Consider the following 25,859-nt stretch of genomic DNA (forward strand, 5'->3'; position numbering starts at 1 on the left):
GAAAATGGGTCCAAGTCCTATCTAAATGAGGTGAAGCAGATGGGTCTCAAGAATAATTCACCTACACTATGTTAGAGCAAATAGAAGATCTGACCAGTGCTGCACCTTTAATGATGAACTTGATGGAAACAGGAAGAGTGGGAAGAACAGAAGAAGAAGGAAGGAAAAGGGATAAAGAAGGAGGTGGGTGAGTAGAGGAGGGGAGTAGGGAAGATTAGAAAAAGAGGGATTATAGAGAGGAGGCAGAGCAAGATGGCTGAATAGAGCCTCCAGTGATTATCCACCCCTGCAGGAACATCAAATTGAACAATGATCCACACAAGAAAGCACCTTTATAAGAACCAGAAATCAGCTTGGGTACCAGCTTGGCCACAGTGGACAATTCACGAAGTGGGCTCCTGGGGTCTCTGATTCCAGGACTTGGCTCTTGTGTGGCATTTCTAAACCTGCCCTGGGCCAGAGTGGGGCCACTGCCCTGAAAGGAGAAATCCAGGACTGGCAGCATTCACCAGAAGCTGACTGAAGAGCCCTTGGACCTTGAGTGAATAGTGGCGGTAGCCAGGGGGTAATTGCCATGGGCTTGGGGTGGTGGTGGCCATGGAGAGAGACTGCTCTGCTTCAGGATAAAGGAGGGAAGAGTAAGAAAGACTTTGTCTTGCAGCTTGGGTGCCAGCTTAGCCGCAATAGAATAGAATACCACATAGACTCTAAGGGTCTCAACTTCCTTGGCTTCCAGATGGCATCTCTGGACCTAGCTGGGGCTGGGGGCAACTCACTGCCCTGAAGGGAAGATCATAACCCTGGCTGGACTCATCACCTGCTGATTATAGAGCTCTTGGGCCTAGAGTGAACATAGGTAGTAGCCAGGCAGTGGAAACTGTGGGCCTTGGGCAAGACCTGGTGCTGTGCTGGCTCTGGGTTTGACCCAGTGCAGTCCTAGTGGTGGTGGCTACAAGGGTGCTTGCATCACCCCTCCCCTAGCTCCAGGCAGCTTAGCACAGAGAAAGAGACACTATTTGTTTGGTGGAAAGTAAGGTAAGAGAACAAAAGTCTCTTCCTGGTAATACAGTCTCTTCCTGTAATACCTGGTAATACAGTCTCTTCCTGTAATACCTGGTAATACAGGTAATACAAGTTCTCCTGGATCTTACATAAGACCACCAAGGCAGTACTTCTACAAGTTGGCAATAGCCAAAGCATTACTGGGCTTGAGGTACCTCCTAATGCAGATTCAGCTGCAGTGAGCAAAGACTTAGATCACAACACTCAAGTCCCTTTGAATACTTGGAAAGCTTTCCCAAGAAAGACAGGTACGAACAAGCCCAGACTGTGAAAACTAAAATAAATACCAAACTCTTTAATCCCCAGACACCAATCAATGTCCAGAAGCATCAAGACCATCCAGGAGAACATGACCTCACCAAAGGAACAAAATAAGGCACCAGAGACCGATCTTGGAGAGACAGAGATATGTGACCTTTCAGACAGAGAATTCAGAATAGCTGTTGTGAGAAAACTCAAGGAAATTCAAGATAATATAGAGAAGGAATCCAGAATCCTGTCAGATAAATTTAGCAAAGAGATTGAAACAATTAAAAAGAATCAAGCAGAATTCTGGAGCTGAAAAATGCAATTGACATACTGAAGAATTATCAGAGTCTCTTAATAGCAGAATTGATAAAGCAGAATAAAGAATTAGTGAGCTTGAAGACAACCCACTTAAAAATACACAATTAGAGTAGATGAAAGAAAAAAGAATAAAAAGGAATGAAGCATGCTTGTAAAATCTAGAAATTAGCCTCAAAAGGGCAAATCTAAGAGTTATTGGCCTTAAAGAGGAAGTAGAGAAAGAGATAGGGATTGAACATTTATTCAAAGGAGTAATAACAGAGAACTTCCCAAACTTAGAGAAAGATATCAATATCCAAGCACAAGAAGGTAACAGAACACCAAACAGATTTCAGCCAAAGAAGATGACCTCAAGGCATTTAATAATGAAACTCCCAAAGGTCAAGGATAAAGAAAGGATCCTAAAAGCAGCAAGAGAAAAGAATCAATAACATACAAAGGAGCCCCAATATATCTGGCACAGGCTTTTCAGTGTAAACCTTACAGGCCAGGAAAAAGTGGCATGACGTATATTTTTTAAAACTTTTATCCCAGAATGGTATATCTGGCAAAAATATCCTTTAAACATGAAAAAGAAATATTTTCTGAGATAAAAAAAGAAACCTGAGGGATTTCATCAACACCAGACCTGCCATATAAGAAATGCTAAAGGGAATACTTCAAGCATAAATAAAAAGATATTAATGAGCAATAAGAAATCATCTGAAGGTACAAAACTCACTGGTCATAGTAAGTACACAGAAACACACAGAATATTATAACATGTTAATTATGGTATGTAAACTACTCATATGTTGAGTAGAAAAACTAAAAGATAAACTGATCAAATATAATAACTACAACAACTTTTCAAGACATGTCAGTTTAAAATAATGGGTTATAAGATATTATGGTAACCTAGAATTTAAAAACATACAACAGATATGCAAAAAATAAAAGCAAGAAATTAATAGAAGAATTGATCAAGCGGAATAAAGAATCAGTGAGCTTGAAGACAGAAATTAAAACATGCTACCAGAGAAAATTGCCTTCACTAAAAGGAAGATAGGAAGGAAAAAGAGAAGGAAGAGAAGACCACAAAACAATCAGAAAAAAATGAAATGTCAGGAGTAAGTTCTGACTTATCAATAACAATATTTAATGTAAATGGACTAAACTCTCCAATCAAAAGACATAGAGTGCCTGAATGGATTTTTTTTAAAAAGTCCCAGTGATCTGTTGCCTGCAAGAAACACACTTCACCTAAAAAGACACACATAGACTGAAAATAAAGAGATGGAAAAATATATTCCAGGCAAGTGGAAACCAAAAGAGAGCAGAAGTCACTATACTTATATCAGACAAAATAGATTTCAAGACAAAAACTATAGAAAGAGACAAAGAGGGTCATTATATAATGATAAAGGGGTCAATTCAGCAAGAGGATATAAAAATTATAACTATATATACACTCAATGCTGGAGCCCTCAGATAGAGAAAGCAAATATTATCAGAGCTAAGGAAAGAGATAGATCCCAATACAATAACTGTTGGAGAATTCAACAACCCATGTTCACCTTTGGACATGATTTTCTGTCTGGACAGGTCATCCAGACAGAAAATCAAAAAAGAAACATTGGACTTAATCTGCACTGTAGACCAAATGGACCTAATAGATATTTGCAGAACATGTCAACCAATGGCTGCAGAATGCACGCTCTTCTCCTCAGCACATAGATCATTCTGAAATAAATAGAACATATGTTAGGCCATCCATATCCATATGCAGAAGATATCCATGTGCAGAAGAATGAAACTAGACCTCTTTCTCCACACACAAAAATCAAAACAAAATGGATTAAAGGCTTAAATCTAAAAACTATAAAAAAAAACTATAAAACGACTAAAAGAAAACTTTGAGGAAACTATCCACGACATTAATCTAGGCAAAGATTTCTTAAGTAATATCCCACAAACACAGGGAACCAAAGCAAAAACGGACAAATGGAATCACATCAAGTTAGAGAGCTTCTGCACAACAAAAGAAACAATTAACAAAGTGAACAGACAATCCACAGAACAGAAGAAAATATTTGCAAACTACCCATCTGACAAGGAATTAATAACTAGAATATATAAAAAGTTCAAACAACTCAATAGGAAAAAACTAACAATCTGATTTTAAAATGGGCAAAAATCTGAATAGACATTTCTCAAAAGATGACATACAAACGGCAGACAGGCGTATGAAAAGGTGCTCAACATCACTGACCATCGGTGAAATACAAATCAAAACTACAATGAGATTATCATCTCATCCCAGTTAAAATAGCTTTTATCGAAAAGACAGGCAATAATGAATGCTGGTGAGGATGTGGAGAAAAGGGAACCCTTGTACACTGTTGGTGGGAATATAAATTAGTACAATGGAGAGTACATTAGTACTATGAAGAATAGTTTGGAGGTTCCTCAGAAAACTAACAATAGAGCTACCATATGATCCAGCAATCCCACTGCTAGGATATACCCCCCAAAAAAGAGATCAGTACATTGAAGAGATATCTACACTCCCATGTTTATTGTAGTACTATTCACAACAGTGAAGCTTTGGAAGCAGCCTAAGTGTCCATCAACAGATGAATGAATAAAGAAAATATGGTACATATACACAATGGAGTACTATTCAGCCATAAAAAGAATGAGATCCTGTCATTTGCAACAACATGATTGGAACTGGAGGACATGATGTTAAGTGAAATATGCCAGGGACAGAAGGACAGAGTTTGCATGTTCTCACTTATTTGAGGGAACTAAATATTTTAAAAATGGAACTCACAGACATAGAGAGTAGAATAATGGTTACCAGAGGCTGGGAAGGGTAGTGGGGCATTATGTAGGGGGAGAATGGCGATGGTTAATGGGTACAAAAATATCATTACATAGAATGAATAAGATCTAGTATTTGACAGCACAACAGAGTGACTACAGTCAATAATAATTTATTATATATTTTAAAATAACTGGAAGAATATAATTTGAATGTTTGTAACATAAAGGATAAATTCTTGATGTGATGGATACCCCATTTACCCCGATATGATTATTACACAGTGTATGCCTGTATCAAAATATCTCATGTATCCCATAAATTTATACACCTACTATGTACCCACAAAAATTAAGAATAAAATATTTTTAAAAAAAGGAAGGGAAGAGAAGGAAGAAACTAACAGCTTGTAAAAGATAAAAAGAATCAAGTTGAGACAAAGCACATCCCAAGATAGGAGGTAAATTTACTTCCATATTCTGCCTCAAAAAATCTTAATAAATTAAATTCAACAAAACAAGATCTCAAAGACTCAATAATAGAAAGACAAAATAAAATGAAAGTGCAGGTCGCAAACATACAGAAATAAATTGAGAATCATGTCCCTTTATCACTCTAGGGTCCTAGGCTGGTTAGCAAAATTCAACTGAGTTGGAAAGGAGTGGGCAACTATCATTAAGGTCAATCAATATTAACTGTTTTGAGATTTGCTAAAGGGTTCAAAATTACAGCCAGATAGGAAGAATAAATTTTAGTGTTCTATACCACTGGAGGATGGCATAGTTAACACTAATATGTTATATAGTTTAAAATAGCTAGGAGGAGGATATTGAACATTCCCAACATAAAGAAATGATAAATGTTTGAGATGACAGATATGCTAATTACCCTGATCTGATCACTCTACATTATATGTGTCAAAATAGTACTTTGTACCCCATGAATATGTAAAATCAATATTTGTTAGTTAAGAAATAAAATTATACTTAAAAATTAACTACTTCTTTTGCTATGCAAACACTGATAGGAGCTATATAAACTTGATCAATGAAAGCACAAGATTACCAAATGAAAGAGATGAGAGCAGTGTATCATTCACACAACTCCACCATTACTGGTTGTGTGTCAGTTGTATCAGTGTAATCAGCAAAAGTAAGCTAACATTACCTACTTCAGCAAAGTTGTTCTGAATATCAGATGAGATGATATTTGTAACATGCTGAGCACAATTGTAGCTTGACAAGTGGTAGCTGTTATTATTTGGCTTTTGGGACAGTAAAATATCTCTGAAATGGTAAATGAGAACATAGCATGGTGACCTAGTGTTGCCTTTCTTTAGGACTATCCATAGGATCCTACTTCTGTAGATCCTACAAATCCATCACCCCTAATAGTTTTGAGGTCTTAGGATTAGTTGATTAATACGGCAGGTTTTTCATATATCTTCTAATCCTGGGCCACATGTAATGCTTACACCAGTGAAAGCAAATTTCTTACCTGCCTTTGTCGAGTAAACCTTTCCACGTTGAGAAACAAAAGTAATAGCTGATGTATAAAAACTATGAAAAGTCTTCTTTATGATATCATCATGAAAGTTAGCTATTAATTGAAAGGTGTTGCCGCCATCAACTGAAAGCCATATCTAAAGGAATAAAGAGATAATACCTTACTAAAGGGCTGCCATGCAACAGTTGGCAGTTACCTATCAGCCTACATGAGAATAGCCATGTGGCATGATCTTTTCCATATGCCTACATTCATCTCTCTCTCTCTCTCTCACACACACACACACACACACACACACACTCGTATACAGACTCCTTATCTACTTTGTCTACCTTCTATTTCCATCCTAGAGTGTGTATGAAGGTGTCTGTGGCAGAGTACCGGTCTACACAATATGCATAGTGATTGTATAAAATAACAAAGTTATTCCTATGATCTCCCAAATAATTCCGTGTTCATAAAAGAATGGAGTGCTGGGTGCATTTGGATCTGGGGGAGGGGTTTACCCCATATTGACATAATACTTCATGTTCTAGGTGTCTGGCAAATATATATGCACACATATTTTGCATGGAAGAGCCCCTTGTCATTTGCAAGGGATGTGTCCTGGGACCTTTGTAGATCCTCAAATCACTTATCTCACTGTATAGTTATATTAGTTTATTACTATAGCATCTTAGTTTCTCTGTTTCCTCATCTTTAGGTAAGAGTTGTTTGAGGATAAAACAGATCAATTCTGTATTATGATTCCCAGTTGCTACCGCTTTTAATAGCCTGAGACTCATTCACATGAAGATTTCTGTTGTTTGGATTTTTAAAAAATTAATTTTAATAACAAGTTATACAAGAAAATAGGCTTTTCTTACATTTCCAACTTTATAAATATGGCTGAAGAATCTGAGACCACCATCCAAACAATTCTCCTTTTATGCCTCATCTAATATAATCAATCCTAGTCTCCTCTATCCCTTCCCATAGGTGACCAGTTAATCGGTTTGAAAATTCGAAGCATTTACATTCATATGTATGCAGATACCAATAGAATATGTACAGTACTGATTTCATTTTTATGGTAGGGAGGACAGAAAGGCTTTTAGACTTGGACAGGAAGTAACTTTGCCCTGGACTGCTTGCTTACTGGGCCTGAATATTACAAACACATACAGGAAACATACTGAATACACATAGGTGCTTCTGTTACTCAGGATGCAGCACTCATTGCTGGCATAACACAATCCATGATCCAAAGCATATGGTATGTGGACCTCAATTTTCACTCTTGCTTTGGGCCCTGCAAACATTACTGGTGAGCAGGGAGGTAGTTAGGTGTCTAAGGAAGGGCACCTTGAACAATAGGCTCGAACTTGTATCATATTGTACCTGTTTTTCTATAAGTTACATTTGTCACGCAACAATGTATCTCAGATCATTTTATGTTAGCTCATGTGGATCAGCACATTCTTCTACACTGTCCTATAGTCTCCAACTTATGGATATACCATACTTGAGATAGTCTACTTTTCTACTATACTACTGAACATTTAAAAGTTGTACCCAAATTTTCACTGTTGTGAATAATACTGCAGTGAACATTCATTTATCTGCCTATTTGTACTAACGTTACAGTGTTATCTTTAAAGAAAATACTGAAAAATTAAGCTGCTGAGTCAGATGCTATCATATATATATATATATATATATATTTAAGACAGGGTCTCACTCTGTCACCCAGGCTGCAGTGCAGTGGCACAATCTTGGCTCACTGCCACCTCTGCCTTCTCAGCTCAAGCCATCTTTTCACCTCAGCCTCCCAAGTAGCTGGGACTACAGGCATAAGCCACCATGCCCGGCTAATTTTTGTAGAGATGGGTTTTTGCCATGTTGCCCAGGCTGGTCTGAAACTCCCGGGCTCAAGCGATTCTCCTGCCTTGGCCTCCCGAAGTGCTGGTATCACAGGCATGAGCCACTGCATCTAGCCACATTTCTACAACTTTAATAGAGACTACCCAAGTGCTCTTCAGTTTTGCTGAACCAGATTACAGTCCCACCAGTAGTGTATGAGAGTATCTGTTTCCCCAAACCTCACCAATACTTGATATGACCAAAAATTTATTTTTAATTTTTACTCATGATCAGAATGAAAAATGACATCTCATTGTGTTTTTCCCTAAATATTTTAAATTATTTATCTATACATGGCTCATTTGTATTTTTCCTTATATTATTTAATAATATAATGAACTGTGTGAACTGAAAACCTATGAATCGGCATATTGCTAGTAATTTACATCTTCCTGTTTCTCCCCATTCCTATCCCTCTGCCTTTCCTGTTACATATCCAATATCCTGAATTTTGTGTTTTTTCATTCCCTTGGTATTTAAAATAATTTAAGCACATATGTTTAAATAACATAATGCTTAATTTTACTTATTTTTGCTCCTTGTAAAAAGGGCTATCCATACCATATATTGTCTTCTATAACTTACTTTCCCTCAACATTATTTACTTAAATTCATACATGTTGCATACAGCTCAGTTCATTTGCTTTTTCATTTCCATATAATAGTTCATTAGGTGAATAAGATGTAATTTACTTATTCATTTTCCTATTCATAGACATCTGGATTACTTTTAGTAATTTGATGTTATTACTAGCAGTACCCATGACAAACATTTTAAAATGTCTCCGGATATATGTGTTTCCCTTGCTGAAAAGTGAAATTGGTGGGACATAGGATATGCAAATATTCACATTTACAAGATAATAATAACAATGGCAGATTGCTTTCCAGAATAGTTGTAATAATTTACTCTCCCAGCAGCAATATATAAGAAATCGTGTTGACCTACACTTTCAACATTTTGTATCGACAGAATTTATTTTGCCAGTTAAGTAGCTGAAAATGATATCGTCGTTCATTCCTGATTTGTATTTCCCTGATTGCTTGTGAACTCCATCATCTCTTCACGTATTCATTCCACTTGTTTCCTTTTCTGTGATATGCTTATTTGTGTGTTTTCTCCTTTTTGCTATTAGGTTGTCTTTTTCATATTGCTTTGCAGAAATTCTTTATATATTCTTACTTCTATAATTCTTTCTTAGTTAAATGTATTGTAAATATCATCTCCCAGTTTGCAGATTGTTGTTGTTTTTCACTTCTTAGTATATCCTTCATGAAAAAGTCTCTTCCTCTTTCTCTCCTTCTTCTTTCTTTCTCCTTCCTCCTCCCTCCTCCACCTCCTTCTCCTCTTCTGCTTCCCCCTCCTCCTTTTTTTAAAAAGAGGATGCAGAAAACTTTCTTTAGGTAAAAAGTGAAGTTAAGAGACTCTGTGATCTGATTCGGGGACCTAACCAAATAAGAAAACTGACTGCTAAATGGCTGACTTACAGGTGAGATTTTGGCCCATATCACCAGTGTAACTTAAGATCAGTCTTCATTTCTTTTATTATTTTTCATTTTGAATGTTTAACTTGACCCAAATTATAAGTCATTGCCAAATTACTTTGGAAATATCCTTTGTCTTGATTGTGTTATTGCATATGGGTGGTGCTCAAACGGAGGCTGAGGCAGGCGGATCACGAGGTCAGGAGATCGAGACCATCCTGGCTAACGCGGTGAAACCCTGTCTCTACTAAAAATACAAAAAATTAGCTGGGTGTAGTGGAGGGCGCCTGTAGTCCCAGCTACTTGGGAGGCTGAGGCAGAAGAATGGCGTGAACCCGGGAGGCGGAGCTTGCAGTGAGCCGAGATCGCACCACTGCACTCCAGCCTGGGCGACAAAGTGAGACTCCGTCTCAAAAAAAAAAAAAAAAAAAAAAATTAATTCAGATGTTTTCAATTTTGTGAAGAGATGGCGGATATTTTCTAGGTCATAATACAAGAGTGTTTTGTGATCTAACTATTGGTTATTTTATAATTTTTTCTTTTTTATTGAGGTAAAAAACACATATCATAAACTTTATCATGTTATCCATTATTAAGCATACAGTTCAGTAGTGTTACGTATATTTACATTGTAGTGGAAGAGTTCCCCCGCACATGCATAGTCTCCCCCATTACTAGCATTCCCCAACAACTGATGAACCTACACTGATACATCATTATCACTCAGAGTCCATAGTTTACATTAGGGACCATTCTTAGTCTTATACATCCTATGGACTTAGACAAACGTGTAATGGCATGTATCCACCATTATAGTATCAGACAGAAGAGTTTCACTGCCCTAAAAGTCCTCTGTTCTCGGCCTATTCAACCTCTCTGCCCTCTAATCCCTGGCAACCACGGATCTTCTTGCTGTCTCCATAGTTTTGCCTTTTCCAGAATGTCATATATTGGAATCATAAAGTTTGTAGCCTTTTCAGATTAGTTTCTTTCCCTTAGTAATATGCATTTAAGCTTCTTCCATGTCTTTTTTTTTTTTTTTTTTTTTTTTGAGACAGAGTCTCACTCAATCACCCAGGCTGGAGTGCAGTGGTGCAATCTCGGCTCACTGCAACCTCTGCCTCCCCAGTTCAAGCGATTCTCCTGTCTCAGCCTCCTGAGTAGCTGGGATTACAAGCGCCTGCCACCACACCCAGCTAATTTTTGTATTTTTAGTAGAGACAGGGTTTCACCATGTTAGCCAGGCTGGTCTCGAACTCCTGACCTCAGGTGATCCACCCGCCTCGGCCTCCCAAAGTGCTGGGATTACAGTCTTCCATGTCTTTTACATGGCTTGATAACTCATTTCTGCTTAGCACTGAATAATAATCCATCATCTGGATATACCAAGTTTATTTGTCCATTCTCCTAGTGAAGGACATCTTGGTTGCTGTACAACCCTCACATCCAACTGGACCATTTTGTAAGCTCTATTAGATTTACATCTGTTTTAGCTATTGTTAATCTGTTTCCACAAGAGTTGTTCCAATTCCTTGGTCTTTCTAAATTTTTGTTCAACTGTTCGTTCTGTTTCTTAGCTTCATTTCAGAGGACACCATATAAACCCTTTATCTTTAATTCTGACTATTTATTGTCCACAATCAAAACACACATAAATTGATTTTTGTGTGTGTGTGAGATCAGGTCTTACTCTGTCACCCAGGTTGGAGTGCAATGGCACAATCTTGGCTAACTGCAACCTCTACCTCCCAGGCTCAAGGAAACCTTCCACCTCAGCTTCCTGAGTAGCTGGGACCACAGGAACGTGCCACCACACCTGGATAATTTTTTTTTATTTTTTGGTGGAGACAGGGTTTTGGCATGTTGCCCAAGCTCGTCGCGAACTCCTGAGCTCAGGCAATCCACTCACCTTGACATCCCAAAGTGCTGGGATTACAGGTGTGAGCCACTGCACCCAGCCTGAATTTTTGAGATGTATAAAATACTGGCAAAATTTTTGATCTACACACTTTTAAACCATTAAGTTCAAGTATAATAACTCCTTACATCACTGTTAGTTTCCAATCCATGCGCCCTAGGAATTCTAGAACAAAAGACAATGAAGCAACCACTTTTTCAAAAAATGACAGAAAATGAGTAAATAAAGTCATAGGATTCTACTCAGTTGGAGAAATACAGAGAAAAAAACACAAGATGGAGACTGGGGGAAATGCAGGCCCAAGAACTCTATTTAGATGATCGCCTGTTATATATGTGGAGAAACCTGGACACCACCAAATGCAAATTGTGTTCCTCTTATAAGGGGAACAAACATTCAAGGGTCAAAGAAGAAATTAGAGATTTTAAACTGATATTGGCTGGGTGTGGTGGCTTATGCCTATAATCCCAGCACTTTGGGAGGCGAAAACGGCCAGATCACTTGAGGTCAGGAGATAGAGACCAGCCTGGCTAACATGGTGAAACCCCCTCTTTACTAAAAATACAAAAATTAGCTGGGTGTGGTGGCAGGTGCCTGTAATCCCAGCTACTTGGGAGGCTGAGGCAGGAGAATCACTTGAACCCGGGAGGTGGTGGTCGCAGTGAGCCTGGGCGACAGAACAAGACTCCGTCTCAAAAACAAACTAACAAAAAAACCCACAAAAACCCCCAAACGGATATGGTTAGGCTTTGTGTCCCTACCCAGATCTCATCTTGAATTATAATCCCCATAATCCCCAGGTGTTGAGGAAGGAACCAGGTGGAAGTGATTGGATCATGGGGGCGATTTCCCCATGCTGTTCTCGTGATAGTGAGTTCTCATGAGATCTAATGGTTTTATAAGAGGCTGTTGCCCCTTCACTCTGCCACTCTTCTCTCAGCAGTCTACTCTAGATCTCTTGAACTTTCTAGCTAATCAAGGGTACAAGGCATCTAGGTCGAAGGCCCAGCTTTGCCTACAGCAGGTCAAATATCTAGGCCTAATCTTAGCCAGAGGAACCAGGGCCCTCAGCAAGGAACGAATACAGCCTATACTGGCTTATCCTTGCCCTAAGACATTAAAACGGCTGCGGGGGTTCCTTGGAATCACCGGCTTTTGCCAACTATGGATCCCTGGATAGAGCGAGATAGCCAGGCCCCTCTATACTCTAATCAAGGAGACCCGGAGGGCAAATACTCATCTAGTAGAATGGGAACCAGAGGCAGAAACAGCCTTCAAAACCTTAAAGCAGGCCCTAGTACAAGCTCCAGCTTTAAGCCTTCCCACAGGACAAAACTTCTTTTTATACATCACAGAGAGAGCAGGGATAGCTCTTGGAATCCTTACTCAGACTCGTGAGACAACCCCACAACCAGTGGCATACCTAAGTAAAGAAGTTGATGTAGTAGCAAAAGTCTGGCTTCACTGTTTAAGGGTAGTTGTGGCGGTGGCCGTCTTAGTGTCAGAGGCTATCAAAATAATACAAGGATCCCACTGTCTGGACTACTCATGATGTAAATGACATACTAGGTGCCAAAGGAAGTTTATGGCTATCAGACAACCGCCTACTTAGATACCAGGCGCTACTCCTTGAGGGACTGGTGCTTCAAATACGTATGTGTGTGGCCCTCAACCCTGCTACTTTTCTCCCAGAGGATGGGGAACCAATCAAGCATGACTGCCAACAAATTATAGTCCAGATTTATGCCGCCCGAGATGATCTCTTAGAAGTCCCCTTAGCTAATCCTGACCTTAACCTATATATTGATGGAAGTTCATTTGTGGAGAATGGGATACGAAGGGCAGGTTATGCCATAGTTAGTGATGTAACTGTACTTGAAAGTAAGCCTCTTCCCCCAGGGGCCAGCGCCCAGTTAGCAGAACTAGTGGCACTTACCTGAGCCTTAGAACTGGGAAAGGGAAAAAGTATAAATGTGTATACAGACAGCAAGTATGCTTATCTAATCCTACATGCCCATGCTGCAATATGGAAAGAAAGGGAGTTCCTAACCTCTGGGGGAACCCCATTAAATACCACAAGGAAATTATGGAGTTATTGCACACATTGCAAAAACCCAAGGAGGTGGCAGTCTTACACTGCGGAAGCCATCAAAAAGGGGAAGGAGAGAGGAGAACAGCAGCATAAGTGTCTGGCAGAGGCAGGGAAATACCAGCAGAAAGGAAAGAGACAAAGAGACAGAAAGTCAGATAGAAAGAAAGAGAAAGAGAGAGACAAAGTCAAAGACAGAAGGAAAGAGAGAGATAGAAGTAGTCAAGAAAAAACAGCGTACCCTATTCCTTTAAAAGGCAGGGTAAATTTCTGTCTACCCAGCCAAGGCATATTCTTCTTATGTGGAACTTCAACCTATATCTGCCTCTCAGACAAGTCTGCAAGAAATAATGAAATCTATCTTTACTCTACAATCCTAAATAGACTCTTTGGCAGCAGTGACTCTCCAAAACCGCCAAGGCCTAGACCTCCTCACTGCTGAGAAAGGAGGACTCTGCACCTTCTCAGGGAAAGAGTGTTGTTTTTACACTAACCAGTCAGGGATAGTAAGAGATGCTACCTGGCGTTTACAGGAAAAGGCTTCTGAAATCAGACAATGCCTTTCAAACTCTTATACCAACCTCTGGAGTTGGGCAACATGACTTCTCCCCTTTCTAGGTCCTGTGACAGCCATCTTGCTATTACTCACCTTTGGGCCCTGTATTTTTAACCTCCTTGTCAAATTTGTTTCCTCTAGGACCAAGGCCATCAAACTATAGATGGTCTTACAAATGGAACCCCAAATGAGCTCAACTAACAACTTCTACCGAGGACACCTGGACTGACCCACTGGCCCTTTCGCTGGCCTAAAGAGTTCCCCTCTGGAGGACACTACAACTGCAGGGCCCTTTCTTCACCCCATCCAGCAGGAAGTAGCTAGAGCTATCATCGGCCAATTCCCAACAGCATTTGGGGTGTCCTGTTTAGAGGGGAGATTGAGAGGTGAAGCCAGCTGGACTTCCTGGGTCGAGTAGGGACTTGGAGAACTTTTCTGTCTAGCTAGAAAACTAGATTGTAAACACACCAATCCACGCTCTGTGTCTAGCTAAAGGTTTGTAAACGCACCAATCAGAACTCTGTGAAAACACACCAATCAGTGCTCTGTGTCTAGCTAAAGGTTTGTAAACGCACCAATCAGCACTCTGTGTCTAGCTAAAGGATTGTAAACGCACCAATCAGCACTCTGTAAAATGGACCAATCAGCACTCTGTAAAATGGACCAATCAGTGCTCTGTAAAATGGACCAATCAGCAAGATGTGGGTGGGGCCAAATAAGGGAATAAAAGCTGGCCACCCGAGCCAGCAACGGCAAGCTACTCGGGACCCCTTCCATGCTGTGGAAGCTTTGTTCTTTCGCTCTTCACAATAAGTCTTGCTGCTGCTCACTCGTGGTCCACACTATCTTTATGAGCTGTAACACTCACTGTGAGGGTCTGCGGCTTCATTCCTGAAATCAGCAAGACCACAAACCCACCGGGAGGAACAAACAACTCTGGACGTGCCACCTTTAAGAGCTGTAACACTCACTGCGAAGGTCTGCAGCTTCACTCCTGAAGTCAGCGAGACCACGCACCCACCAGAAGGAAGAAACTCTGGACACATCTGAACATCTAAAGGGAAAAACTCTGGACACACCATCTTTAAGAGCTGTAACACTCACCGCGAGGGTCCGCAGATTCATTCTTGAAGTCAGCGAAACCAAGAACCCACCGGAAGGAACCAATTCCAGACACAATGATTGTAAGTTTTCCAAGGCCTTCCCAGCCAGGCAGAACTGTGAGTCAATTAAACCTCTTTTCTTTATAAATTACCCCGTCTCGGACAGTTCTTTATAGCAGTGTGAGAATGGATTAATACATAAACATTTAGTGTGAAAAACTAAAATATGGAAGAGAGTTTTAAGAAGACCTAGAAACAGGGTATCATCTTTAAAATCTCTAAATTTTGCACATAATATAGATATTTGAGAAACTGAATTAGTTCCTTCTTTGGAAGTCATTGCAGTACTTTCTTAGTTCCAAAGTTTGCTTAATGTTTCATAATCTGTGGCCCTTACTTTTTAAAACTGTCAGATGCTCCATAGATGGTATAACTACTCCTTTACCAAGCTTTCAGTGTACTGATACAGAACTGACTGAAGGAGCAGCCAGAGGGTGGAAAATGCTACTAGGAGGAACTTAAAGAACAACAGAGCCAGAAAGTCAAGCTCAAAGTCAAACAGAAAAAGGCAAACATTAAATGCTGGAAACACCAGTTAGAAATACACTTTTGATGGGATTAGTGGCAAAATCTAAGTAATTCAGAGCTGGAAAGACAGGTATAGTAATTGGCAACATTCAAGCTAACTCTGATGTACCCATGGCTCATTTTCATCAGCCAATGAACTACCTGAAAGGTAAAAACTGATAATGGACACCAAGCTTAGTATACAATAAATAGTCAATAAATATTGTCTTCCCTCCCACTGCCATCTCTAGGTCATCAGAGAAGCTCTGTTCTTAATGTACAGCCATGCAGCATACAGTAGGTGGATGATTTAACTCTAACACAGACTGAAGTTCCATGTGTACGCACCTGATTGCCATAAGCATACAAAAAGTGGCTTCGGGGATGAAATACCATTCCAACGGGAGAAGAGAATGATGAAGGAAACCGAAAAATTGGAAATTTTGATTGTGAATTTGGTTCATTATTTCTCAGGGTGCTCACAGAGGCAATGGCAGTTTTCCTGACCTAGGTAAACAAAGAATGAGCAAGTCATAAGACTAGTCTGTGTTACAAATTTTAGAATTTCCTGTTACTTGCATTTTGATTAAGAGAGAGATACAATCACTAACACAACATAGAACTAGAAGGATTAGCAGTAATTGTTACCTCTTTACTCCACCACTCTGGCCCCTGCCACACACCCATCTTATAGTTGTTGAAAATGAAGTTTAGGAGATTAAATAACTTGTTGAAAGCTCTATAATTAACAGCAAAGAGAGGTTTATTATAGAATCACTGCTGAACTTGCCAGACAGACTCCAAAGCCCATGCTTATGACTATCATGCCAAAAGTGTGGATGCCTAAGCCACACCCCAGTTCTATTCAACCATTATTTTAAATGGGATCAGAATATGACACCTCAGGCCAGGCGCAGTCTTCAGCTTAAAATTATCTTTATATAAAAGTGGCTTGTAATCTCAGCACTTTGGGAGGCCTATGTGAGAGGATTGCTTGAGCCTAGGCATTTGAGAACAGCCTGGTCAACAAAGTGAGACCCAGTTGCATTAAAAAAAAAAATTAAAAATTAGCCAGGCATGGTGGCATGAACCTGTAGTCCCAGCTACTAATCAGGCTGGGGCAGAGGATCGCTTGAGCCAGGAGTTAGAGTCTGTGGTGAACTATGATCACACCACTGCACTCCAGCCTGAGTGAGAGTGAGACCATCTCAAAAGAAAAAAAAAAGAGATATGAAACCTCAAAATATGCCACTTTTGGCCAGGCGCAGTGGCTTACGCCTATAATCCCAGCACTTTGGGGGGCCGAACTGGGTGGATCACTTGAGGCCAGGAGTTCGAGGCCAGCCTGGACAACATGGCAAAACCCTGTCTCTACTAAAAATACAAAAATTAGCTGGCGTGGTGGCACACACCTGTAATTTCTGTTACTTGGGAGGCTGAGGTGGGAGAATCTCTTGAAACCGGGAGGCAGAGGTTGCAGTGAGCCAAGATCGCTCCACTGCACTCCAGCCTGGGTGACAGGGACCCTGTCTCAAAACAAAAAAATGCCACTTTTATATAAGGATAATTTTAAGCTGAAGACTGTTGAGATTCAACAGATGCAGAGAAAAAACTTTGGAGCCTTTTGTGTCTGACTAAAAGCAGGAACTGCTGGGAAATGAGGCTGACAGAAATTCCTCCTTGGGGCAGATCTACTCCTAGAAGGAAGAATGTAAATAAAACCTGTCCCAAATCCCTTCTCCAGAGGAGTTTTATACCCCTGAAGGAGAAGGAAAGACCACTCATACCTAGATTTACAAACATTATCAAAAACTTTCATATCTCCTGGCCAGGCGCTGTGGCTCATGCCTGCAATTCCAGCACTTTGGGACGCCAACGTGGGTGGATCACTTGAGGTCAGGAGTTCAAGACCAGCCTGGCCAACATGACAAAACCCCATCTCTACTAAAAAATACAAAAATTGACCAGGTGTGGTGGTGGGCACCTGTAATCCCAGCTACTTGGGAGGCTATGGCAGGAGAATCGCTTGAGCCTGGGAGGCAGAGGTTGCAGTGCGCCGAGGTTGCAGTGAGCCAAGATTGCACCATTGCACTCCAGCCTGGGCAGCAGAGCGAGACCCCATCTCAAAAAAACCCCAAAAAACCAACCAACAAAAAAAAATCGTATCTCCTGTTTGCTGTCCTGAAAACCCATTTATCTTTTTTTCTTTTTTTTTAAAAGCAATTTGTTTTTCCATAAATGGTTTTCTCCCTTTCCCCTTCACCTATTAAGATGGTACCTAACCGTCCAGGCTCGGTGGCTCACGCTTGTAATCCCAGCACTTTGGGAGGCCGAGGCGGGCAGATCACGAGGTCAGGAGATCGAGACCACGGTGAAACCCTGCCTCTACTAAAAATACAAAAAATTAGCCAGGCATGGTGGCGGGCGCCTGTAGTCCCAGCTACTCGGAGAGGCTGAGGCAGGAGAATGGCGTGAACCCGGGAGGCGGAGCTTGCAGTGAGCCGAGATTGCACCACTGCACTCCAGCCTGGGCAACAGAGGGAGACTCTGTCTCAAAAACAACAACAACAACAACAACAACAACAACAAAAAGATGGTACCTAACTTCCAAATTTTAACCTCATCACTGAGTTTCCCATGTGTGCACACTGCACATGTAAATAAACTGTTTTCTCCTATTAATATTTTTTTTTCAGTTTAATTTGCAAGGCTCCACTCATTGAACATACGAAGATGGAGGAAAGAGCTTTTTCCTTCCCTACAATCTTGACGATAGGGGCCGAACTTATGGTTTTATTTGTTTGTTTGTTTTTTTGTTTGCTTGCTTGTTTGTTTTCTCAGACTGGATTTTGCTCTGTCACCTCACCTGGTGTGCTGGAGTGCAGTAGTGCCTCACTGTGGTTTTGAAATCCTGGCCTCAAGCCTCCTGCCTCAGCCTCCCGAGTTGCTGGGATTACAGGCATGAGCCATCACAACTGTCAGTTTATGTGTTTTTTAATGGCTCTAAGAAGAATTCTAATTCACAGGTAGGGTTAAGGACGTTTGGAAGAAAAAAATATAGATCTGTGGCAATTACTTCCATTTTTTTTTCTGTTTAATTAACCATTTTATGGAATCTTAAATTTGTATAGAAAAATCCCAGCTTATATTCTTTAGAGAATTAGCAAGGGAGAATCACTATGCATACAGCATCACGTTTTCCATTTTCATCAAAATGAATGACGACCAGGTGAGAAATCTCTAAAGTGTCAAGCTATATTATTGATTTTAAATAATTTTGCTATAGCCAATTTTATAGGTTCTATTGCCAGACATAACAAGAACTTGAAAATAACTTTTGCTAAGGTAAATTTTTATTGTTGTCATGTCAAGATAAATTCCCTCTGGGATATAAGGCCTACCTTGTTATAGAAGAGGTAAACTCCAGTACCACGCTCTTGGTCAACAAGAAATGTTAGCACAGTTGGAAAAATTTTTATTCCTTTAAAAATGTGAGGTAAGCAGGGTACCCATTCAAGAAATGGTTCCTGACTATAAAAACAAGAGCTTGACTATAAAAAAAAGAAGGGAAAAATTAATGCTGTTTTTGAAATATAAGTTCTAATTCTCTTAGTGAAACTAGCCCACTTGTTCATAGAAGTAATATTTACAGTTTTTTGAACAAACATAGAAATTAACCTTCCCTCCCTGGTCTTAAAACCCACTGGTCTTTAAACTCCCTGGTCTTAAAACGTTTTTCTCATCTGAATTCCTTCTTTAGGAAATCGACCCTTAGGCAAGGAACTGAAACTCAACGGATCACTGCACCCAGATAATGAGAAGTCAGACTCCTCATCCATCATGATTGCTTCTTCACCCATCTCTAATTCCTGTTTTCCTACCTTCCTTTCTGTGTAAATCCCCCAATTTTACTCAGAGAGACAGGTTTGAGATTTTTATCTACCATTCTCCTTGGCTGCAGCACCTGATTAAAGCCTTCTCCCTGGCAATACTTGTTGACTCAGTGACTGGCAGTCTATACAGCAAGCAGCAGGACCTAGACTGAATCCCTGGTGTTTTAGTAACAGTAGGAAAATAAATTAACAACCATAGTGTTGCTCTGACTGATCACAATTGTTTTTTAAAAAATCCTTAATGTGGCTGGGTTTGGTGCTCACGCCTGTAACCCCAGCACTTTGGGAGGCCAAGGGGGGTGGGTCACGAGGTCAAGAGATCAAGACCATCCTGGCCAACATGGTGAAACCCTGTCTCTACTAAAAATACAAAAATTAGCTGGACATGGTGGAGCGTGCCTGTAGTCCCAGCTACTTGGTATGCTGAGGCAGGAGAATTGCTTGAACCTGGGAGGCAGAGGTTGCAGTGAGCCAAGATCATGCCACTGCGCTCCAGCCTGGAGACAGAGCGAGACTCTGTCTCAAAAAAAAAAAAAATCCTTAATGTCTGTGCCTCTCTTCTGAGGGATATGAGCCCAGAAAACATTGCAATGCATGTCTTTCTGGTACGAATTGTTTTTCTAGAACCATTGCTTAGGTCCTGATTAACATAATTAGGTAAGTACTAATAAACCCAAGTAGAAACACCACTGGGAGCAAAGAGTGATTGTGAAGCCTTTCAGTCTGTAGAATTGCCATTTTTTAGATTAATCCCAATCCATGAAGTCCCCAATCCCACAACAAAATTTCTTAACTTATAAAATATTCAATATCATACCTCACTTAGGGTTCTGTTTCTCTCAAAGGTAACTGTAACATAATCAACTGTGAAATAAATACAAGGGTACAGGAATTATGAGCATATCTGTATTTCTAAAACTGGAAGGGTTAGTCTTAATAGTCTTCATGAAAATCATAGAAATTATTTTTGCAAGTAAACTTATGGTAAATGAAAATAATAATAATAATAAAAGTTATGTATCATCAAGTAATGTATACTCAAATCTAATTTTCTTATCCCTATTTCAAGTGTACCTATTGTCTCAGATTTAAATTAGAATGTTTTTTATTTTAGGCCATTAACTTATATAAAGCAAACTTGTCTTTATATTTTGTTCTAGTTTTATTTTATGTCATTTTATTTAATCTAGTTGTAACTGAGTAGCTTAGATTCAAAGTGCATTTTAAAATTTTTTTTATTCCTTTCTTGATTTTTGCCTTGAAAACATACTTTGGAATTTTGTTTCCCTCCCTTCCCACTCGACACTCCATGCACTGCTGGCTTATCTAATTATGTTCTTGCTTAGAAGTTCCAGGGGCTAATTTTGAAACAAATCAGACATGGAGACTCAGTTGTAAAATTCCAGAGATTACCTCAAGGAGGTTAGTCTACAACCTGGCCATCGTGAAGATGACACCAGCCTATGTTCCAGGTGGAGCATGACTCAAGATAGCCACTGGGACAGGACACACAGACCTTGCACCCAGCATCACTCCTGAATGCCTCCCACCCCAAGTTCCCCCTTCTAAACTCCTCTCCCCAGCCTAAAGTTTGGAATGGTCTTTTAAAGGCGTGAGCCTGGCCACTCTCCCAACTGCTGGCTTTTGGAATAAAAGTCACTTTCCTTTCACTGCATCTCATCCTTGTTCATTTGGCTTTATATGTGGCAAGCAGCCAAGCTTGCATTCATTACAAATTTGGTAGTCCCTTTAGGGAGTCTGCATTTTGAGTGGTCTAGTCTGTCAACCTGGTTTGCAACGAGTGGGGCAATTGGCCGCAGCAGTGTGTCAGGGCTTTCCTATTCATGCTACTGGATGGGACAAGAGTTGCTCATGAATATTAGCTGCTGATGGCTAGCTGACCCTGCAGCTGGGGCTCTGGGCATTTTCCTGGCAGCTGCTGAGATACTTTAGTCTCAGGAAATCTCCCTTCTCTCCCTGTCATGGCGTTAGCTGCCTACTACACTTTGCTGGTGCAGGGAAAGTGACAAGTGAAGAAGCTAACAGACTTCAGAACTGGATAAGTCAACTGGAATGCACCCAGGTCTCCTCTGTCTCTTCTGTGGTAACACTTGAGCTCTGCTCCATTTGGATGTAGCTGCTTGCGACATTGTCTGGGCAGGTACATCATCTTTATCTGTGGCACCACTTGAGCTTTGTTCTGTTTTGACCTAGCTGCTCATGGGGCCATCTGAAGTTGAGACAAGGTTTCAGGACTTTTATCTAGTCCCCTTGATGGGGAATCAGCCTGGGAGTGCACCATCTGAATCTGTGTATGTATGTGATCTACATTTGGGCCCTTATCTACTTGCAACTTTCTTTCCTTCTTTCTCTACCCTTTAAGGCAGCCTGTCTAAGCCCCCCACTCAATCTAGGGATCCAACCCTGAAGTAGAACAGCTTTTGTCACCCTGGTTCTTGGCTGGGTTGCTCTTTCTCGGACCCCAAAGTACTTCTCAGAGCTGTGCCAAATCTTATGGGGGAAAGAAGCATGTGAATTCTTCTGTGGGTTATCTAAATGGGCCTGTATCCCACTTACGGTTTTCAATGTTATTTGTCGGAAATACCTGGGATAAATGTTTAAACAGTCCCAACTCCAATTCTTTTGCCCTTTCTGTCCACTTGTTTTGCCATCTCATTTGTTGCCCTTCCATTACTGCTTACTGGGATTGCAGCAGGACCTGAACTTAGATTAAGGTTGATGTGTTAAAAAAAAGGCTATATTGGTCATCGCCAGTCATTAGACTGTTGGGGAAATTAATTCTTTTACATGTTTGGCTCTCCTGACTGTGTGGCAAAATTTACACAGGCATGCCTATTGGGACCATGAATGGTACCATCAACACTGGTTGTGTAAAATAAGGAGGATTCACCCAACTCCTGGCAATCTAGTTGCAGGGAATTATTGATACAGAGGCAAAAGCAAGGCATCAATATAGGCTGCTCCTCTGCTCACTAAAGGCCCCTGATTTTGTCATCCTCTTTGGGACTCCAGCTGGTCACATATTATGGTCCATTTCTGTGCACATTTTAAACTGAGGGGCAAGTTATAGCAAAAAAAATTCAGAGCTCACATGGTTAATTTGCAACTATAAAGTTAATCAGAGTTCTAAAGTTCTCTATCTTCTTTTTTTTTTTCTGCCTGCCTTGAATCTGCTTTGAATCTGCTTTTACTAAGCTGTGGTGCTAAGACTCATTATTTATGTTCTAACTGAAATGTAAACATTGGAAGCTCATTTGGAATGGAAGAAAAAAAGGATAAAAGAGACTTTTAAAAACTGAACTGCCACATGAAATTTAAATTAGTTTTTTCAAATTCTGTAAGGAATGTCAATGGTATGGAACCAAAAAAGAGCCCGTATAGCCAAGACAATCCTAAGCAAAAAGAACAAAGCTGGAAGCATCATGCTACCTGACTTCGAACTATACTACAAGTCTACAGTAACCAATACAGCATGGTACTGGTACCAAAACAGACATCTAGACCAATGGAACATAACAGAGACTTCAGAAATAACACCACACATCTACAACCATCTCATCTTCGAAAAACCTGAGAAAAACAAGCAATGGGGAAAGAATTCCCTATTTAATAAATGGTGCTGGGAAAACTGGCTAGCCATATGCAGAAAACTGAAACTGAACCCCTTCCTCACACCTTATAGAAAAATTAATTCAAGATGGATTAAACACTTAAATGTAAAACCCAAAGCCATAAAAATCCTGGAAGAAAACCTAGGCAATACCATTCAGGACATAGGCATGGGCAAAGACTTCATGATGAAAACACCAAAAGCAATTGTAAGAAAAGCCAAAATTGACAAACAGGATCTAATTAAACTAAAGAGCTTCTGCACAGCAAAAGAAACTATCATTAGAGGGAACAGGCAACCTACGAATGGGAGAATATTTTTGTAATCTACCCAAGAATCTACAAAGAATCTACAAGGAACTTAAACAAATTTACAAGAAAAAAAATCCCATCAAAAAGTGGGCAAAGGATATGAACAGACACTTCTCAAAATAAGACATTTATGCAGCCAAGAAACATATGAAAAAAGAGTGCAACATCACTAATCATTAAAGAAATGCAAATCAAAACCACAATGAGATACCATCTTATACCTGTCAGAATGGTGATTATTAAAAAGCCAAGAAACAATAGATGCTGGCAAGGCTGTGGAGAAATAGGAACGCTTTTACACTGTTGGTGGGAATGTAAATTAGTTCAGCCATTGTGGAGACAGTGTGGCAATTCCTCAAGGATCTAGAACCAGAAATGTCATTTGACCTAGCAATCCCATTACTGGGTATATACTCTAAGGAAAATAAATCATTCTACTATAAAGGCACATGCGCATTTGGGCCCTTATCTACTTGCTACTGTATTGCAGCACTAGTTACAATAGCAAAGACATGCAACCAACCCAAATACCCATCAATGGTAGACGGGATAAAGAAAATGGGTACATGTACACCATGGAATACTATGCAGCCCTAAAAAGGAATGAGATCATGTCCTTTGCAGGGACATGGATGAAGCTGGAAGCCATAATCCTCAGCAAACTAACACAGGAACAGAAGAAAACCAAACACCGCATGTTCTTACTCATAAGTGGGAGTTGAACAGTGAGAACACATGGACACAGGGAAGGGAACAACACACACCAGGGCCAGTTGGCAGGTGGGGGGCAAGGGGGGAGAGAGCATTAGGACAAATAGCTAATGCATGTGGGGCTTAAAACCTAGATGACAGTTGAAAGATGCAGCAAACCACCATGGCACATATATACCTATGTAACGAGCCTACACGTTCTGCACTTGTATCCTGGAACTTAAAGTAAAATAAAAAACAAAACTGAACTGCCGTAAAGACTGCTTTAGCCAAATTTTGGTCCATTGCCTTTCTTGGATTACCTACTAAGGCAAACAAAGTTCAGCCATGTGAACAGATTCCAATTTTGTCACAAAAATAATTCAGATCCAGCTATCTTTTATAAAATGATGAGATTATATTGCTATCTTGTGGCTAGAATTCTAAGGTAAAAGCTATTGGATATTTGTGTGTGCATATACATGTTTAGATATATTTATGTGATGTTGATGTATTATGTGATATGTCATATCTGGCACACTACCAAGCTGGCTTATAAGTAAATGAGTACTCATAAATGAAATCCAAAAGCTCTTCAAGTGCACATGCATCTTTGATAAATAAAACTGGTTTTAAATATGATTAATAAAATTAACATAGAAATGTCTTCAGAAGTGTCAGCATACATTTTTGTCTGAGTTTACTGATTAGATATGTTTTGTATTTGCCTCTGCTAGATAGATTAAGCTGTCTGGATTTGGCATAAAAGTTATAAGGCTATAAACCCAGCCAAAAGCAGAATGATCTTTGTTTGTATGATTTTTTTTGATAAATAAGACTAATGTAATATTGGTGGTTCAATAAAAACAGCTGAATCTTCTAAGTTGTCAGCAAAATGCCCATGTGTTTAACTTTAAGGTTCTTAGGTGAATCCCTGATGTTTACAAGCTTTAAAAATGGTTAACAGGAAAATAACTTTAAATGATGACTAGTGCTGTCTAATATCTCCATTTTCAAAAGTAGTCTAGATAAATGATTAAAAATGAAAAAATCAAGTTACGTGTAAATGGGGTAAATGCTTGCAGGTAAACTTTAAATGAAATTTAAAATCTTAAAATTATTTTGGATGCTTATTTAGATGTCTGGGTCATTTCCAACTAAAAACGGGTTATGATGTGGGAAAACATGTTTATAAAACTTGTAGAATTATTTCATCTATAAAATGTTAACATCTGATAAACAGTTCAGGATTTCTTGCTTCCTAAGCTTTCACTAAAGTTTAAAGTTATTAAAAATAAAAATACTAGGTAATATATAATTCTGTAAGTTGTGTTCTTATTAAAATAATTTTGTATGAGGAAATATCTTATATGGTAAATTTCTGTCCTAAAGTAAAATGGTTGTTTAGGAAAGAGATAATATAGGACAAGATAGAAAGTCTAAGCATGCCATAGATGGCCTATGTCATATGCCATATCCATGGATGGCCTATATCAGATGTAAGATTTTACATCTTATCAAGATAATTTCTATGTTGTCTTTATTAGATTTTTGATGGCTTAAAAAACCTCAGATTTAAAAGGGTTAAGGTTTTTACAGCCACATAACCTTCTATGTTGCCCTTAAAGTCTTTTGATTATCACTTTGGTTAGATGAATATTGTTTTACAATGACCTATCATTCTATTTTGACCAAATGTTTTGAGCCTTTTAACATCTTTCACAAACGTCCTTGAAATCAAATCCTAAATTAAATCTCTGACCTCTTTCTTGG

General features: G+C 39.6%; 1 protein-coding gene across 1 annotated transcript in view; it reads right to left on the reverse strand.

Moving 5' to 3' along the window:
* CATSPERB (catsper channel auxiliary subunit beta) overlaps positions 1-25,859 on the reverse strand; it is a 151,389-nt gene that overhangs the window by 73,207 nt on the left and 52,323 nt on the right. Inside the window, exons 12-15 of the mRNA NM_024764.4 lie at positions 20,272-20,318; positions 18,963-19,112; positions 15,910-16,068; positions 5,933-6,077 (exon numbers count right to left, since the gene is read on the reverse strand). Coding sequence (NP_079040.2) covers positions 5,933-6,077; positions 15,910-16,068; positions 18,963-19,112; positions 20,272-20,318 — 501 coding nt within the window. The remainder of the gene's footprint in view (positions 1-5,932; positions 6,078-15,909; positions 16,069-18,962; positions 19,113-20,271; positions 20,319-25,859) is intronic.

Source organism: Homo sapiens, chromosome 14 (genome assembly GCF_000001405.40).
Source record: "Homo sapiens chromosome 14, GRCh38.p14 Primary Assembly".
Taxonomy (NCBI): Eukaryota; Metazoa; Chordata; class Mammalia; order Primates; family Hominidae; genus Homo; species Homo sapiens.